Source organism: Homo sapiens, chromosome 6 (assembly GCF_000001405.40).
Source record: "Homo sapiens chromosome 6, GRCh38.p14 Primary Assembly".
Classification (NCBI taxonomy): Eukaryota; Metazoa; Chordata; class Mammalia; order Primates; family Hominidae; genus Homo; species Homo sapiens.
In genome coordinates, this window is record NC_000006.12 from 120,970,256 (window position 1) to 120,984,462 (window position 14,207).

The following is a 14,207-nucleotide window of genomic DNA, read 5'->3' on the forward strand; positions in this document are numbered from 1 at the left end:
TTGGTGGGAATGTAAATTAGTACATTATGGAAAGCAGTATGGAGGTTCATCAAAAAACTAAAAATAAATTACCATTTGATCCAACAATCCCAGTTCTGGATATGTATCAAAAAATTAAAATTAATAAATCAAAGCGATATCTGTACCTCCATGTTCATTGGGATATTATTTGCAATAGCCAATATCAACCTAAGTGTGTATCAATAGGTGAATGGATAAAGAAAATGTGGCATATATTAATAGTATATACAAAATGAAATACTATTCAGCCTTAAAGGAAATCCTGCCATTTGCAACAACATGGAAGAACCCAAAGAACATTATGCTAAGTGAAATAAACCAGGCACAGAAAGACAAACATCTAAAAATGTCAAACTCATAGAAGTAGTAATTGAATGGTGGCTACCAGAGGGTCAGGGAGAGAGTAAATGGAAGACTGGGGAGATGGTGATCAAAGGATACAAAGTTTCAGTTAGACAGGAGGAATAAGTCTTTGATATCTTTTACACAGCATGGTGAGTATAGTTTATAATGAATTGTATATTTCAAAATTGCTAAGAGTAAATTTTAAATGTGCCACCATGTAAATAAATTAGGTAATGGATATGTGAATTCACTTGATTTAGTCATTCCACATTGTATATTTCTATGAAAATATCACATTGTACCCCATAAATATACACTATTATTCATCAGTTAAAATAATTTTTAAAGGAGGATTTGTAGGAGTAGCAGGTCTCTAGACCTCTGGAGTTGAACAATTTGGCTGATGAGATTAGCTTGCATGAGAATTTCAGGAAGGAAAAAGCAGGTGTGTTGACCGGCAAGCACCGACTATGACTTGGGCCTACTAAATTCCTTCCAGTTCTTCCAACAAACTAAAAGTCTAATGACTTGGAGTCTTTGTCCATGCTATCCCCTCTGTCCGGGATGCACTACCACCTTTTACACCATTTTTGGTGACACACAGCCACAGGGCTTTCAGACACAAACCAAATATAATCTTCTGAATATTTCACAGGAATAGAGGCACTTTAGTGTTTACATGGCTTCCTCTATTATATACCTTCCTCACATGCCACTATCATTACTTTTTAGCTTTTCTTCCTCCATTCAGACTCTTAAGATCTTCTAGGGTAGAAGCCACGGGCATTCCTTTAAATTCAGTACCTATCACAAAATAAGCACATGAGCATTAATATTCTGTTTTTAGTCTTTGTTATGCCTTTTCTAAATTAATTTTAATAGTGCCAAAATTGATTAGCTTCAAATCATGTTTTCTGTCAGTAGAAAAACGTGCATACATCTTAAGAATCAGCTATAGGCAGGTTATTGACCTTTGCCTATAAATCTTGCCACTTTTCCTGTGTGCATGTAAGCATACATTTTGGTAAGCATATATGTACATTGAATAGTCATGATGAGAAATAAAAATAATATCCTTGGATTTTTCTCCCAGCACCCAATTCATCTGAATAGCCAATTGGTTGTTGTAGTTGTTGGCAAATGATGTCTGAATTTGTATGTTTCTAGTCAGCCCAGAGAAACAGGAATCAATGAATTTGTCACTTTCTATCTCTTCTAGCTTCGTTGTTTTTGTGATCCTTTATTCCACTGCAGTAAAGTGTTAATGCAATTGACTGGTAGTGCCTACAAAATAAACTCGCTCCTCCTTTTGATAGGCCATGCTTTGAAGAGCTAAACGGCAAATCTTTTTGATCTAAACAGTTTAATTACCTTGCTAAAAAAAAAAAGAATGTGTATCCCATGCGTTGATTATCTTTCTTAGTCATCTCTCTAGGAGCATGCCATTTTTTCCTTACTAGGCTCTCTGTTTCTTTAAACTACTCTCCAGATTTTCCAAAAAAGTATAAAAACCCCATAGTGTGTGAAAACTTTGCAATTTTCACTGGGTACAATTCCAATTAACTCAAATATAAGGATCAGTCCTAAGGGCTGCATGATATGTCTATGTTAGAACAAACTAATAAGTGAAACAAAAACATCACAGCCTAGAGAACAGAAAGGAGCACTTTTCCTGAAATGCTTATAATCTGAATATGAGCTCTAATGACCATGTTTTGATTAATTTCCAACAGAGATGCCTACCCAGGCATGAGAATTTTTCCACTACAGCCTGCTCAAAAAAGACTTCTGTGTTTTGAAACAACACAACAACACTCATGACTGCTGCTTTTTGTTGCTTTATTTTTCTAGAAAAGCACTTCTTAGCTTGACAGATGTTCAGCCATTCTGTCAAAAGGATTTCCTCAGAAAAGTTAGGGGATACTGTGTAGGCCATGTCTTCCCATAATGTCATTGGAAAACTAACAGGGAGTCTTAGCAGGCTTTCATTCACTCTCAACCACCATTACTGCTGAATACATTAAATAATACTTCCCTCTTTAGTACATTTCAATGTGAAAAAGCAACCCTGGATTTTAATGTGTTTGTGAATTTGAACTGGATACGTTTTTTTAAAAATCATTCAAAACTTCAGAATTATACATTGCTGCTACTGCTTTACCAATACTGTTCTGAAGCAACCAAGGATTATGGGGCATAAAATTCTGGAAATTTCTGTTAGGCCTGGTTTGGTTTCAAGTAGATTTCTCTAGTGAAAAAGAATATTCAGAGTGCTTGAGGATATTAACATGATACTTTATGAGGAATTTCCAGATAGTTATAATTAACCCCAAACCAAACGCTAATCTCCTGAAGCTGTTCTACATAAGGGTGGTTCTCTCAGATTTAGCCCTGTTCAATCAGGGTACCAGACTGGGTATTCTGGCTACCTCTGAAGGCCAGCACCCATCCAGGATGTCTCTGTGATAATATTAGGCTTCCTCCTTAATGGTTGGCTCAAGGATGTCCCTGGATTGGAAAGTCATATTCTTGAAAAGCCTTTATTTTCCCCTAGCAATGCCAGTCAGCATTAACTTACTATTAGACAAGAAATTCTTAAATACAGAGCCGATTTTACTTATCTAGGATCAAGAAGGAAAATAACATTTAAGAGTCTATAACGTACCAGAAACCTTGTTTAGTATTTTGTATCTTTAGTCTTCCTAAGAAAACTAAAAGGAAGTCACCATTATTTTCATTTTCTGTATGAGAAAATTCCTAATAATCATAGAAGGCAATATCCTAAATATGATAGCTGCTTTCTTCGTATATTGTTTCATTTCCCAGTTTTTTCTTCATTTTTTAACATTCTAAACAAAAGAGATCCTGTAAAGAAATTACAACTGTTTCCTGTCACTTACATATTTATAACCATGTACTAATTTTCGTAAAAGGATGGTGACAAAACTCAACACAGTCCCGAAGCTCTCCATATCATCTCTCCCATGTCTCCATGGACCACGTTCCTTTCTTCTCTCTAATGTTCCTTCTGCTTCTAATGCCCCAAATGTGCTGACTCCTCCCTGCCCTAGAGAGCATATGCTGTTTATTCCATCCAAAAAGATCTCTCTAATCCTCTCCACTCCCAACTCATCAAGCAAACTTGTATTCATTCTTTAATTCTTAGAAAAAAAAGAACTTCTTTAAGGTAGTTAAAAATATCATTTCTGCAAATATATTGAAATATATCTTTTGCTGCTATGAGGGCATATAATAAATCCTGTTTTATATTGTATAGCAAGATACATTGTTTTACGCCCTCATAGCATCCTCTACGTAGTTGCCAGAGAATGTATTTTGATTTCAATTAATATTTACCTAATCATATGCTTTTCATATTGCCTGTAACTGCAAGAGCCACGAGGGCAAAATCTATGTCTACTTTATTTACTGCTGAAACCCCATGGCCTAGAACAGTGTTTGAAACATAGTAGGTGCTCAGTGAATACTTGTTGAATGAATAAATGAGCCACTGCTCTGCATAATTAGTGTCTTTATTTTACTTAAAAAGCCATAGGTGAGTTTACCCTGAATTAATATTTCCAAGGATTTTTTCCAATTTTTTCCATATCTGAGTGTTTAGCCATCTTTCTGTGAAATATGAGAAATCACAAGATTGTAACATGTTAGAAAATAAAATGAAACAGGGCTGTTTTCAGTCTTGAGCTCCAGATTTGTATTTATATCAATATATCTTATTATTGATTATATAATTTAACCTACATTCCACAAAACATAATTTTGCTTCTTGACCCTTTCATTTAATGTACACTTGTTGGTTCTGGTAAACACATACTTTGGAGAGTTAGAAAGGAAATTTGAAGTTGAATAAAAAGAAATTTATCTACAAAAAACACAGCCTGACTTTCATTCAACTATTAAGATTTCATTAAATATAAATAAAAATGAAATACACGTATTTGGGTTTGTGCATAAAAGAAGAACCACACATGTTCTGGTTTTACAATTTCTATCTTATTTCACCCCTTTGTAGCATTAAACACTGTTGATAAGTCTTTTTTCAAAGTCTTTTCTCTGGGCTTCCATGACACCAGGTTTTCCTCCTAATTTTCTTCCTTTCTTTCTATTGCTACCCATCACTCATTTTCCTGGCTTTTCTTCAACTCTTTCTTCCTTAAACAGCATGTATTGAAAGCTCACTGTGTATCTGGTGCTGAGCTATATTCTGGAATCAAAAAATCTTACTCTTTTTTCATCTCACTAAACCCTCTGGAAGGGATTAAACACAATTTTTGTTTTATGCTGATTACTTCCAAATCTGTACATAGTCTACACTGTTCTCCTAAGCTTAAGGCTCACATGGCCATCTGTATAATGGGCATAAACTATCTCAGACTCAGCATGTCCAAAGTGAACTTGCTATTCTCTCCCCAAAACCTTTCCACACTCTATCTCATAACTGGATAATTGTACCCAGTGCCATAGTCTCCCAAACAAGGAACATGCAACTCATTCTGACTTTCCTTCTTTATTCTTCAAATGCAATTGGTTCTAGAGTCCTAAGTGATTAACCTTTTCTTTATTTCCTTTGCACTGTCACTGTCCTAATTTTAATGCTCATCACCCCTTTTCTGTATTGCAATATTTAACTCATAACTGGTCTTCTCTCCCTCATTTCTTTTTCTCTCAAATCCATTTTTCATACTGCCACCAGAGTGCTATTTCTAAATTTAAATACGGCCATATGGCCCAAACTTAAAACTCATCCATGGCTTCAAATTTCCTCTAGGGTAAAGCCTAAGCTTTGTAGCACCATATTTTGTCATGATCTGATCATAATTTACCTCTCCATCTTCCTACACCTTATCTTGCACCTATGATGCTATCACAACATAAAGTGTCCTCCATAAGACATTGTATTTTTATATTTCTGTACTTTCAAAATGCTTTTCCTCTGCCAGAAATGTCTTCCTCACCTTGTACACTAGAAAACCTAACCACCAGAATTCATATTAGACATCTTTTCTGTTAAGCTTTCCATGGCCTCTTCAGAAAACGCTGTGCCACCACAGATGTTCATAAATATAGAACATATTGTTCCCTAATGCAATTACAAATGTACACATTTGTCTCCAACTGTATGTTTAGAACTATAGGACCTAGCACCATAAGCCATGGCACATAATGGGTCCTGAAGACCAAAATAAAATAAAACTCCTAAATTTCTCCAACAGACACTCCTTCGACTATAAAAACCCAAAATTTTAAGTTCCCTTCCAAGGTAAGATGGGAGGCTAATTACGTCCCATTTGCTTTCACCTTCTTTTACTCATTCATCATTACTAGATTTTCTCAAAAGCCAGCTTGAGAAAACAAAAGATTGGAAGGCCCCTCAGCTCCTCCTGTTGTTATGGCTCCAGCATAACAGCTATTCCAGTTCACAAGGAATTTCTTCTTCAATACTGACTACCGGCTGTGGACTGGTTTTGGCCAGTGTCCTGAGGATGCACAGAACTTGTACACTATATTTCACCTTTTTATGTATAGAACCTAATTATAATGCATGTAAATGTTAAATTGCCACCCCAAAGTGAAAATGGGTCATAATGTATGTTTCACACATGTAAACCTAAAGTGCACACATGTGAGCATCTTTCATGAATATTGATAAGTCCTCCCATCTCCTGTTAAATATGTACACCCTGCCACCCCATTTAGAATATATACCTATCTCTTCTTTCTCTCCCTTTGAAGCATGGCTTTATGGTTTTGGCCAGAGGCTTACTTCCCACCTGCGCACCTGCAGGATGGAACCCCCTTGAAATAAATCTCTCCATTTAAATTTATTGACTCAACAGTATATAACAAACTTCTGTGGAAGGAGTGAATTAATGATCATAAGTAAACTAGTAATAAATTAGACTTCTCCTTTGACAAAAAGTCTTTTCAAATAAAAAGTCAACTGGGAAAGCAAGATTAGTATAATGAAATCACATTTATGGGAATTCAAACTAATATTTTATTAACAATTACAAATCAGAAGATAAACAGATGGGCTGCAGAAAAGGTTTGAGTTTTGTTCATGAGGTGAAAAGGTCATCCTTGAGTATTACCAGTACATATGCTCCTCTACTTATGATGGGGTTAGTTCCAACAAACCCACTGTAAATTGGAAATACCATAAGTCAAAAATGCATTTAATACACCTAACCTACCAAACATCATAGCTTAGCCTAGCCTACTTTAACCATGCTTGGAATACTTACATTAGCCCACAACAGGGCAAAATAATCTAACACAAAGCCTATTTAAAAAGAAAGTGTTGGATATCTCATGTAATTTATTGAATACCGTACTGAAAGTGAAAAACAAAATGGTTGTAAGGATAAAGTACGGTTTCTACTGAATGTTTATCACTTTTGTACCATTACAAAGTTGAAAATTTTAAGTCAAACTGTTATAAGTTTGAGACCATCCTTATTAAACTTGGCATTTTATTTCTGAAATACCACCTTATCCCTATCCTAGTTCTGAATGGTCACCAATAGCCTCCCTCATAAATGTAGAAATTCAGGAAGATATGCTCCTTCTCCTTCCAATGGAGATACAGATTTTTTGTTAATTTATGACATAATCGTTCCTGTCTGAGCCTTTCTTTCAGGAATTAATTTCCTAGGGAACATGAACCATTTTCTGTTGTTCTTAATAACATTATGGTCTTGTCAATAAACATGATGATCACAGAGTTCTAAGCATCTTTAATTCCTATCCAAAACTTGCTGTAAGTGTGCTCTATGTTGGTTTGTCTAAAATTGGTCACAACGGACACATTTCTGCTCTTGTAGTTGATATTATTTGCATAGAGAAAAAGTTGTTGCTAGTAAATGCTTAATAATTTCCTATAAAATAGTGATAGTATCTCACTTTGGGGAAGGGAAAACTGAGTCACGTGGAATACATTTTGTTTTGGAATTCATTTCTCTTGGAAAACTAATTAGAGTTCATTTCATTCTGGTACATGGGACAGGGACACAAAAATGCTAAGGTTCCCAGTATTAATTAAGTTGTGTATATCTAAGCAAAACAATCTGTTGATCCAAAAGTAATTAAGCCCACACTTCTTTAAGAAGTATTAAGAAAAAATAAGAAAACGAGAAGTAAGCCTTAGCTTCTGATGTGGCAGCCTTGGGGAGATGGACCAGTGGGAAGCTAATCTTGCCATAATGGACAGGAATGTGAGAATATTATAGAAGGGCTGAGATATGAAGCAAAATTACTGCTACTGGTTAATACCATCTATCTTGTTTGGGTGCTTCTACATCTCAAACATCCTCCTCTGTGTTAGTCTCTTTTTGCAGCTAGCCTAATCTACCTCCAGGGGACTAATTCCTGGAACATTTTAAACATCCTGCTCTGGGAAAATACGATGGGCAAATGGTTAATACGACTTCCTTCTTTGTGCATTGTGCTAATAAATATGCCTCTTTTCCACTTTTTAAAGCCCCAACGTACAGTGTGCTCCATCTATCCAAAACAGATAGGATAGGACTATATGAATCAGAGAGGACTAAGACAACCAGTCCTTAACATGTACGTCAATATTATTCAGAAGTCTCTGCAGCAATGAAGACAATGGTGATGGCGAAATCTAGGATGTTGCTGCAGTCTAGACTGCAATCTCAATCTAGGATGTTGCTGCTGTAACACACAGACAGGTGGAAAATCCCACGATAATTTTTAAATGAAGGAATCCCCAGGAATTCCCATGACCTTTTCACCATCTTTCAAGCTTCTGAATGTGGTCTATTCATTTATTTTGATTAATCCAATAAATTAGCTTTGAATCTCTACCTTTCTATAAAATAAATTTAGTTAGCTCTATTATTGTTTTATTTAAAAGAAAGTATAAAAACCTAAGATATATAGAAAAAGGTACCAAATAATAAATAAAGTAAGCTCTATCATTTTAAAGAAATAACTGGATTGCAAAGGAAAATTGCTGTTAATGGAATTGTAACATAGTCCCCAAACCAAAGATGTAGTAATCCAGACAAGTATATTGTAGACTAGAGATCAGGGCACAGTTTCTATAACACATAAAACTAGGTTTTATTCTCTAAATCTGTGTTTAATATATTTTACCAAAATATAAAGTCAAATTGGTCTAATATAAATTTATAGCATTGAAAAGTTATAAAAGGGAGTTGCTATGCATTTAGAAAGGATCTAAGTTGAGTAAAAATTTGATAAATTTTGCAACTTTAAATTACCTGAGTTTATTAGTAAAACACTTGAAATCTTCTCTGTAATTCTCTCATTTCTCTAGATCCCTTAAGAGCTGTCAGGTGCATCCTTGGAAGTATCATTGCTTTTGTTTTCATCAGTTCACATATTCATGGCATTTCCCTGCTGCTTGTCAAAATAATTAATATCTGGAGTGGAAGAAATAGGTATACTGCATTTTAATAAAAAATTTTATACAAACATGGTTAGAGAAATAGTCTATTAAAAGTGTGAGCTTTCAGTCTTTGACCTTTTGTTACATTGCAAAAACATTTCTGATCTGCTTAAAGAATTATGGACACAGCTGTCATCTCTGTAGCATTAATGAAGGGTTTATTTTCAAAAGAATTATCTTGCTAAAGTTTTGAAAAAGTCTGGATATTCATCAATTTAGGATCTGCCTCACAGTCAATAAGAATAAATAAGAAAAAAAAAATCTGCTCTATGGAACTGTACTGAAAGCTTATGAGAACTTAAAGTGCCTATCACCTTGAATATACAATTTTTGCTCATTTACGAATAAATGTATTTAATTCCATCATATATTCTTGCTAGCTACAAGTAGGTTATCAGCCACTTCCCTGGGTGACCTATGGAATCAAAATAACTGTGATATATTAGATCAAGTTCTTTTCACAATCCATTATAAAACACAATGATTCACTTTCCCAAAATATGACACCACCCAATATCTTGTATTCTTCCTACTGATGCTGGGAACATTTAGATTTATATCATCCTCCATATAACACACCTGAAGTTTTTAGGTCCCATTGCCTCTGCTTTTAGTCTATGGTTAGGAACATTTTGTTCTTTTGTATGAAATCACTCTCTCTCAAGAGTTACTTAAATCAACACAGAATACACAGTCCCATAAAATGGGCAAGTGAAATATATTAGTCCAGCAAACAAGCATCAAAAGTACTAACACAATGACAAATTATTGGAAAAGAAGGGAATATGGTCTTCCTCCTGGTGTATTACATTTAAAAAAATAAGTCTTTTAGGAAAAATTGAAAATAATTGAGTCTAAATAACAAAAAGGATTGCAAATATCATACAAATTCTTAGCACACTTCATAACACACTTTTCTCCACAGATACCCAATGACATAGGAAACAAAAAGGTGTCTGATGTTTTTAAAAGGCTCCTAATTTTATATAGTCCATAACTTTAGCTTCTGAATTTCAGATAACCAAAAACAATGTATTTTTTAAAATCTCGATTTCCTGAATCCTTAAAAATAATGCACATACATACTATTTTTAAAGAAAGAATTATTAAAGTAAAATAATAATAATATATGTAGAAGCATCTAGGAGATATCTGGCACAAAGCAGACACAGGAAAATCAACATTCTCATTCTTTATCCTTTTCTTAACCAAAAGAATGTAGATACAATTTTGCAATATACAAGCATACAGACTTTTCATAGATGCTAAAATCTCTTCAAGCAGCACACCATGGAATTTTATTTTAATTTTACCTATTACTGATCTGTAAAATCCTGAATTGGCATAATAGATGACAATTAAGTCAAATCAGAAAATAATTTTATATGCTTTCATTAAAGTTTAAAGTAAATTGATGTAGAATTTGATCTAGTTTTTTTTTTTTGAAGCAGACAGCCATCTGTATCTGTGTGGGTTCTACATCCACAGATTCAATCAACTGTGGACTGAAAATATTCAGTTGAAGGCTGAGGCAGGAGGGTCACCTGAGGCCGGGAGTTCAAGACCACCCTGAGCAACATAATAAAATCCCATGTCTAAAAAAGAAAACAATTAGTCAAGTGTAGTGGCACATAGTTGTAGTCCCAACTGCTCAGGAGGCTGAGGTAGGATTCCTTGTGCTCAGGAGTTTGACACAGCAATGAGCTGTGGTAGCACCACTGCACTCCAGCCTAGGCAACAGAATAATGTCTCGTCTCTTAAAAATTCACAGAAAATACAATTTAAAAATACAGTATAAAGACTATTTGCCTAACATTTATATTGTATTAGATATTATAAGTAATCTAGAAATGATTTAAAGTATATTGGAGGAGACGCATAGATAATATGCAAATATTATGCCATTTTATACCAGAGACAAGCATCTGTGGATTTTGGTTCCCTAGGGGTTCTGCAACCAATCCACTGCAGATTCCAAGGGACAATGGGATACAATTTCATTTAACTACATAGCCTCCCAAATAATAAACATTTCTCCAGTTGCGTGTTGATGCTTAAAAATGCTTTGGCAGAAGACAAATCTTACTCCACGATGGTAGACTACACTTAAAATATGTAAATATAATGTTTTAAAACCAGCAGTTTAACTTCAACTCACCACAAAGTTATAGGGACTGATGTGTGAGCCCCTCTGGAAGTGAGTTTTGATAGGAGTCAGACAAGAACACTGAAGAGAGGTGAAGAAAGAAGGAAGGTGAGGAGAAGAAAGGGATATAAGTTAAGGGTAAACATTGCCTTCTATTTGCAAAGCCTCCTCTTCTGCCTTTCCATTTTCCTGTCTCTCTTTCCCTTTGTCTTAGCTCTAAACACTTCTTTCCTCATAAGGGTGACAGCATGTGCACATTTTAAAGGTCAAGAGGTGCTAAGCTAGACATTTCCTCAAGCATTCTTTTATAGGTGTTCCAGATAAAAGAGTTGGTGTTAGGCCGGGATTTAAAAGACTGAGAGAAAGAAAACCATGATAATTTCCCTTATGGCTTTTTTTCTAGCCCTGGAATTATAAAAGTTATAAAAGTGATTCCCTTACCCCCTGGTTTAAAAAAAAAAAAGTGACTACTATGGTAACATGTTTACATCCAGTCTTAATGTACAGAAGTCAAGAAAAGCTGAGTTCATGAATATTTTCCAGAGCTATGATACAAATTTTTCCAATTTAAAGCCAATTTCTTTTTATAATTCATTCACTTCCTGTCTCAGTTAAAATAAAAACAAAAAAATTAAATATATTCCTGGAATTTACAAGACATGGTCACTATTTTATTCCACTCTGAATTATTTTGCCCTTCTATCCTTCTTGAAATTTGCTGAAGGTCAGGCTATGTGAATATTTGCTTCTATTGATTAGAATTGAATAACCAGCATGTGGTAAAGTTGAGTAAAGTTCAGAAGATTGCACAGCAGACAACAAGACAGAGATGCCAAGGAATAATGGATTTCCAGAACAGCACAGACCTGTGTAATTTAGCATGAACTTTCTGGTTTTCTATGTACAAGTGTACTATTCATTGGCAATTAGGAGAATTTGTATGAACTGTGTGAAGTTTATTAAGTCTCAAGTTTTATATTGAATTTCTGGGTCTGATTGCATAGCAGCTCCAAAGTTTGCTACTGAGAGATACTTAGATTTTTGTTTGTCGAAAAGTGATCTAGATCCTAATCTCTCTTCTGCTCTTTTTCTTTTTTTCTGCTCTTTTCCCTACTTCAAACACTACCACCTCGGGAAGAGCTCACTTAAGAAATAATTTTCTGAAGATTAAAACTACTTAAAGAGCATCTTAATATTTAACATTTATAATGAGAGCTCTTCCCTTTGGGTCCAAGAAAGATTGTAGCCAAAAATAACTAAATATCAAACGCTAAAAAAAAAAAGAGAGAGAGAAAAAGATGTACACATTCAGATTGTTTTTCTCTTCTAGAAAGGTGAATTCATATACCTTGTTAACTTGTGCTTATGGTATAAAATTATTTATTATGGATCAATATTTACCTTATCAACTATAAGTAGAAGTTGATTTCTTTAATTGGAGTTCTCTTTGACTGCCTACATTGCATTTGTGTAATGGCATTGGTCTTATTTTAGTTATTCTTTCCTGTATATATTCTCAAGCTGTTTGGTATAATTAACCCCTTGACTTATAAATTGATAGAGATTTAACCATTTGTGCCTTGCGGATGCCCAAGCTTTAATTACAGTGCATATTTTCTATATGTTTTAATTTTGAAAACAAATCAGAATATCCAGAATAATTATTCCTTCTCAAAAAGCACAAAAGTAGGTGGACAGCAGTAACTTAAGAAGAAAACTAAGTTTACCATAAATGTCTCTCTTTTCTATTACACAGTTGGAAAAAGTATAAGGCAACAGTGCTGAGCCATTCAGAGAAATATTGTGTTTAATGTCTTTGAGAAGCTTTGAAAAGAGGGAAATATTTTTTCCTTTTATTGATGCTTTGGGAGTTTAGCCCAATAGCACTATAGTTGTGACTTGAATTGCATTGGAAATTGGATTCTGTACACTAAATTAATCTTTAAAAGTGTTCAAATAGTATTATAATTTATTGACAGTGTGACGGTATAATATACTAAAGAACTAGACAATATTCTCCAGCAATACATTAAACAAAAACTTGATTATAGTTCAGATTATATTGGTGCTAATTGATCTTTATTTAGATAGCTGAAAATTTTCTATTTCTGTTTCTGATAAAGAAAAAGTAGCAGCATCTACTTTCTTAGAATTCCAGGGTTTTTTTTTGTTTTTTTTTGTTTTGTATTGCTTGTACTTAATCTTGCTATTTAAAAAAATGAGAAACTAGCTAGAATTTAGGAGCCAGGAAATGTATTTTTGATTTGGTCTACTTTAATGTTTCTGGGCTGATTTGGTTGACCCTGTTGATCAAATAATTGGCCTTGTTTGCAATCCCATTACTGGGCATATACCCAAAGGATTATAAATCATGCTGCTATAAAGACACATGCACACGTATGTTTATTGCAGCACTATTCACAATAGCAAAGACTTGGAACCAAGCCAAATGTCCAACAATGATAGACTGGGTTAAGAAAATGTGGCACATATACACCATGGAATACTCTGCAGCCATAAAAAACGATGAGTTCATGTCCTTTGTAGGGACATGGATGAAGCTGGAAACCATCATTCTCAGCAAACTATCACAAGGACAAAAAACCAAACACCGCATGTTCTCACTCATAGGTGGGAATTGAACAATGAGAACACATGGACACAGGAAGGGGAACATCACACTCTGGGGCCTGTTGTGGGGTGGGGGTAGCGGGGAGGGATAGCATTAGGAGATATACCTAATGTTAAATGACGAGTTACTAGGTGCAGCACACCAACATGGCACATGTATACAAATGTAACTAACCTGCACGTTGTGCACATGTACCCTAAAACTTAAAGTATAATAATAATAAAAAAGAAGTAAACAACACAGAGCTTCAGGCTGATATAGTTACAAATATTTTAAAATGGGAGTCTGATATGGAAATGATAATTCTTCATTTGCCTTCCCAGACAGGCCTTCTTAAAATAGTTATACCCACTATCACAAAACACCTTATACTTATAAACATTCTTCCCTTTGCTTGACATGTACTTGGAATAAGTTTTGAAGTATCTGTAATACAAATAATTGAGTTCAGTAAAAGAACACTGGGATTAGAAGAGTGTGTGTAGTCTCACCATTAAATAGCTCAGCACTCTTAGATAAATGACAACGTCTCTCAACCACGATTTCTCTCTCAGCTCTAAAATGAGGCATTAGACTTAATCATCTATAGTCTCTGGCAGCTCAAA

General features: G+C 34.6%; 1 long non-coding RNA gene across 1 annotated transcript in view; it reads right to left on the minus strand.

Moving 5' to 3' along the window:
- Window positions 1-345: 345 nt before the first annotated feature.
- The window catches only part of LOC105377977 (uncharacterized), a 46,633-nt gene continuing 32,771 nt past the window's right edge, over window positions 346-14,207 (minus strand). The window contains exons 4-5 of the long non-coding RNA XR_942934.2: window positions 8,637-8,798; window positions 346-1,170 (exon numbers count right to left, since the gene is read on the minus strand). This is a non-coding gene — a long non-coding RNA (uncharacterized LOC105377977). The remainder of the gene's footprint in view (window positions 1,171-8,636; window positions 8,799-14,207) is intronic.